Below are 6076 nucleotides of genomic sequence, written 5' to 3'. Positions count from 1 at the left end.
AATCAAGCAGAAATTGTGAAGCTGAAAAATGTAACTGGCATAGTGATGAATGCATCATTCTTTTAATAGCAGAATTGATCAAGCAGAAGAAAAAATTAGTGAGCTTGAAGACAGGCTATATGAAAACACATAGTCAGAGGAGACAAAAGGAAGAACAAGAAATACAATGAAGGACACCTACCGAATCTAGAAAACAACCTCAAAAGGGAAAATCTAACAGATACTGGCCTTAAATAGGAGGTAGAGAAAGAGACAGTGGTAGAAAGTTTATTCAAAGCAAAGATAACAGAGAACTTCCCAAACCTAGAGAAAGATCAATATCCAAGTTCATAAGGTTACAGAACACCAAGCAGATTTAACCCAAAAAAGATTACCTCAGGACATTTACTAATCTAACTCCCGAAGGTCAAAGATAAAGATCTTACAAACAACAAGAGAAAAGAAACAAGCAACATACAAAGGAGCTCCAATACATCTGGCAGCAGACTTTTCAATGGAAACTTTAAAGGCCAGGACATAGTAACATGACATATTTAATGTGCTGATACAAAACAGTAACTTTTACCCTAGAATAGTATATCGAGTGAAATTACTCTTCAAATATGAAGGAAAAATACTTTTCCAGATGCACAAAAGCTGAGGGATGACATCAACATCATACTTGTCCTACAAGAAATATTAAAGAGAGTACTTCCATCAGAAAAAAAAAAGATGTCAGTGAGCAATGAGAAATCATCTGAAGGTACAGAACTCACTGGTAATCATAAGTACACAGAAAAAACACAGATTAAAAAGAATACTATGACACTGTAACTGTGGTGTGAAAACTAATCAAGTAGAAAGACTAAATCACAAAACACTCAAAAATTATAACTATGATGATATTTCAAGACATAGACAGTATAATAAAACATAATTATTAAAAACAAACTTTAAAAAGTGGGGAGATCAAGTTAAAGCATAGTGCTTTTATTAGATTTTTTCTTGTTTGTTTATGCAAATAGTGTTAAGTTGTCATCAGGTTAAAATAATGAGTTATAAGATAGTATTTGCAAGTATCATGGTAACCTTAAACCAAAAAAACACAACAAATACATAAAAGTTGAAAAGCAACAGGCCAGGCAGGATGGCTCATGCCTGTAATCCCACCACTTTGGGAGGCCGAGGCCGGCAGATCACCTGAGACCAGCCTAGCCAACATGGTAAAACCCTGTCTCTACTAAAAATACATAAATTAGCCGGACCTGGTGGCATGCACCTGTAGTCTAAGCTATTCAAGAGGTTGAGGCAGGAGAATCACTTGAACCTGGGAGGCGGAGGTTGCAGTGTTCTGACATGGTGCCACTGCACTCTAGCCTGAGTGAGAGAGTGAAACTCCATGTTAAAAAAAAAAAAAAAATCGAAAAGCAACCAGGGGAAATCACCTCCATTGAAAGGAAGACAGGAAGGAAAGAAAGAAAACAAGGCCACAAAACAAACAGAAATCAAAATGACAGGAGTGAGTCCTTACTAATCAATAATAGTATTGAATGTAAATCGACTAAACTCTCCAATCAAAATACATAGAGTGGCTGAATGGATAAAAATATAAGACACATTGTTGTGATGTCTACAAAAGACACACTTAACCTATAAAGACACACATGACTGAAAATAAAGGGATGGTAAAAGGTATTTTGTGCCAATGAAAACAAAGAAACAAAAAAAAAACAAAAAAGTGAGCAGGAGTAGCTATACTGATATCAAACAAAATAGATTTCAAGATAAAAATGATATGAAGAGACAAAGAAGGTCAGTATGAAATGATAAATGGGTCAATTCAGCAAAAGGATATAACAATTTGAAATATATATATGCCCAATACCGGAGCACACAGATATATAAAAGCAAATTTTACTAGAGCAAAAGAGAGAGATAGGCTCCAATACAATAATAACTGGAGATTTCAACACCTCACTCTTACCATTGGACAGATCTCCCAGGCAGAATATCAACAAGGAAATATCAGTCTGCCCTATAGGCCAAATGGATCTAATATATATTTAGGGAACATTTCATCCAATGGCTGAAGAAAACACATTCTATTCCTCAACCCATGGATCATTCTCAAGCATAGGTCATATGTTAGGTAAAAAATCAAGTCTTAAAATATTCAAAAATATTGAAATAATATCAAGCATCTTTTCTGATGACAATGGAATAAAACTAGGAATCAATAAAAAGAGAAATTCTGGAACTATTCAAAAGTAGAAATTAAAGAATATGCTTCTGAATAACCAGTGAAGAAATTAAGAAGAAAATTGAAACATTTCTTAAAACAAACGATAATGAAAACACAACATACCACAACTTGTGGGACACAGCAAAAGCAGTACTAAGCAGCAAATGTATAGCTGTAAGTGCCTACATCAATAAAGAAGAAAAACATAAAATAAGCAACCTAACAATGCATGTTAAAGAGTTATAAAAGCAAGAGCCAACCAAACCCAAAATCAGTAGAAGAAAATAAATAACAAAAATCAGAGCAGAAATAAATGAATTGAAAGGAATAAAACAATACAAAATGAAAAACTGTTTTTGGAAAAGTTAAACAAAAATCAACATTTAGCCAGACTAAGAAAAAAAGAAGAAGACCCAAATAAATAGAATCAGGATGAAAAACATATATTACAACTGACACTGCAAAAATTCAAAGGATTATTTGCGACTACCATGAGCAACTATATGCTAATGAATTCAAAAATCTAGAAAACATAGACACATTCCTAGACACATTCAACCTACCAAAATAGAACCATGAAGAAATCCAAAACCTTAACACACCAATAACAGCGAATGAGATGAAAGCTGTAATAAAAAACCTCCCAGTTAAAAAATAAATAAAAAATAAAGCTTGTGACCAGGTCATATTTATTTTTTCCTGGTGGAGTGACCCAAAGCTTCATTTCTGAAGGGTCTGGGCCATTTGTAGTCCTGCCTGGATTGGGCTGTCATAGTTTCCCATTGACCTTAATCACAGGGCATGGTAATAAGAAGAGGCATCCTAATGGATCTCCTGTATTCCATGCATACTCTTCCTTAAATCTGTTGTAGAGAAGTAGACTGATTTCATCTCGACAGTCTCAGTCAATCACTCCAGCCAACACTGTAACTCCTTCTTAGCCTGTTGACTTAAGGGTAGCAGGAGCCCAAAGTGTCCAGGTGACAATCTTAACTTCCAGTTTAATGGAACTGTTGTGTCTCCTGGTGGCAGCATTCCTCTCTCTGAAACTAAGACCTCTAGGTCAACAGAACCTAATGTCGTGGGAACAGGAAGCAAAAATTTTGCTAGTGGATCACCAGGGGCGATGGTGAGTAGTGCCACTTCCACTTCCATCCCCTGATTCCTGGACCTGTGAATCCTGGCTATGGGAGAAAAAGTACCATATATTGGATGCTGATTCAGAGCATATACAGCCTTCTGGTGGACTTTGCCCCACCCTGCCAAGTACTGTCACCTAGTTGGCATTGCAGTTGTAACTACGAAAGGTCATTCCACCATTCTATCAATCCAGCTGCTTCAGGATGATGAGGAACATGATGGTAAGACCAGCAAATTCCATGAGCATGAGCCCACTGCCACAATTCTTTAGCCATAAAGTGAGTGCCTTGGTCAGAGGCAATACCATGACAGTGGATAAGGCATTTCGTGAGTCCACGGATGGTAGTCTTGGCAGAAGCATTGCGTGCAGGATAGGCAAACCCATATACAGAGTAAGTGCCTATTCCAGTGAGGACAAACCTCTGCCCTTTCCATAATGGAAGAGGTCCAATATAATCAATCTGCCACCAGGTAGCTGTCTGATCACCCCAAGGAATGGTGCCATATCAAAGGCTCAATGTTGATTTACTATAGCTTTGTGGTGTAATTTGAAGTCAGATAATGTGATCGTCTAGTTTTGATCCTTTTGCTTAACGTAGTATTGGCTATTCCAGGCATTTGCTGTTTTCATATAAGTTTTAGGATTGTTTTTTCTATTTCTGTGAAGAATGTCATTGGTATTTTGAGAGGGATTGCATTAAATCTGTAGATTGCATTGGGTATTGTGTACATTTTAAAAATTGATTCTTCCAATTTGTAAACATGAAATGTCTTCATTTTTTTGGTGTTGTCTTAAATTTCCTTCATCAGTGTTTTGTCGTTTTTATTATAGCAATTTTTCACGAGTAGGTTAAACAATTTCTAGGCACTTAATTTTACGTATTGCTATTGTAAATAAAATTAATTTTCTCTTTTTCAGATTGTTCATTGTTTGCATGTAGAAATGCTACAGAATTTTGTGTGCTAATTTTGTTTCCTGCAACTTCACTGAATTTATTAGTTCATTAGTTTTTTTGGTAGAGTCTTTAAGTTTTTTGAGCTACAGGATAATATCATCTGCAACAAGGATTGTTCGACTTTTATATTCCAATTTGGATTTCTTTTATATTGTTCTCTCATCAAATTGCTCTTGCTAGACCTTCCAGTACTATGTTGAATACAGGTGGTGAAAGTGGGCATCCTTGTCATGTTCCAGATATTTGAAGGAAACCATTCAGTTTTTCCCCATTCAGTATAATATTAGCTGTGGGTCTGTTATATATGGCTTTATATATATATCTCATTGGCTATATATACATCTCATTGGCTAGAACAAAGTGATATATCATATATATATATAATCTCATATATATATCATATATATACACATACACACACATACATACATATATATGGCTTTATATATATTTATATATGTATATATATATGTATGTATATAGATAGATAAATATATCTTTTTCTTTTTCACTCTCTCCTTTTTTTACTCCTCACTTGTATCTTTCTCTTTCCAAGAAGAAAGAAATCTCTTATAGGTTGTGTTGGTAACAATTACTTTCAAGAGGTACTAATAAAAATCTTGATAGATAATATCTTAAATGTATAAAAATTTATGTCTTTACATAAAGATAAATCCATAAGTTAGCAGTACAAGGCTGATAATGTGGATCGATTATGCTAAATTCTTTCTTTTTTTTTTTTTAACTGTTGACTGTAGGCAGGAAGAAAAAGGAAGGGCAAAGGAAAAATACACAATATAGCTGAGTCTTTCTCTTTTTATTATAAAATCAATAGCTGATCTGAAACCCTCACAGAGTAAAATTCCACATACATCTCATTGGCTAGAACAAAGTGATATATCATGCACAGTGGCAAGAGGATCTGGTAAATGTAGTTTCTACTCCTCCAGGTATCTTGCCATTCCTCATCCTACCCAAAATTAGGGCTCTGTTAGGTAAGGAATACAAGGAGTACAAATACTGGGTGGGTAATTAGCAGCATTGCCCAAAAAGGTCAGACTAGAAAGAAAAAAAAAAGACGGCCAAACACACAAGAGGTTCATCAAGAAAAGAATATCACTTTTACTGGAAAAAGAACATGTATTATCAGCAGATTGGACAGGTGAAGTTTTCTGCTTTTGATTCCCTCCTCTCTTTTTAACCATTTTCTTCCTCTTCACTCTTCCCTATATGGCTCGTGTAGTCATATACTGTATGGGAGATGAGATGGCCTTGCCCCGATTAAATGAGCAGACCAAAGTCAAATCCAGATGTAATCCAAAAATAAAATTCTAAGTCCCCCAATTGACAGAATGGACCCCCTTTTTGCCAAGGGGACCCAAAGAAATACTGAAATATGAGTTCAGGTCATGATAGGAAAGGAGGGTCAGATATGCCTCATTATATTTTCCTTCCTATGGCGTTCAGACACAACTGACCAGCATTAACATTTAAACAGAGATCTTAAGACTCACAAAACAGACTCTTTGTACCAATAAGACACAAAAACTCCAAACTGACTATAGTATAGCATCACATGACAAACAGCAGGCCCTGAAGAAAATCAGAGTATTTTATCCCAAAATGTATTTCATTGACATCTTTTAGACTGGTCCTGCATGGCTATCTCTTGTGCATTCTATAGAGACTCCCCTTTCCTTAGTAGCTCTGTTCCAGAGAGTCTGATACCTTTTCAGGGTCTGAAGAGGAAACATTTGCC

The sequence above is a fragment of the Homo sapiens genome, chromosome X (assembly GCF_000001405.40).
Source record: "Homo sapiens chromosome X, GRCh38.p14 Primary Assembly".
Taxonomy (NCBI): Eukaryota; Metazoa; Chordata; class Mammalia; order Primates; family Hominidae; genus Homo; species Homo sapiens.
The sequence above is the reverse complement of the archived record's forward strand: the minus strand, read 5'-3'. Positions refer to the sequence as shown.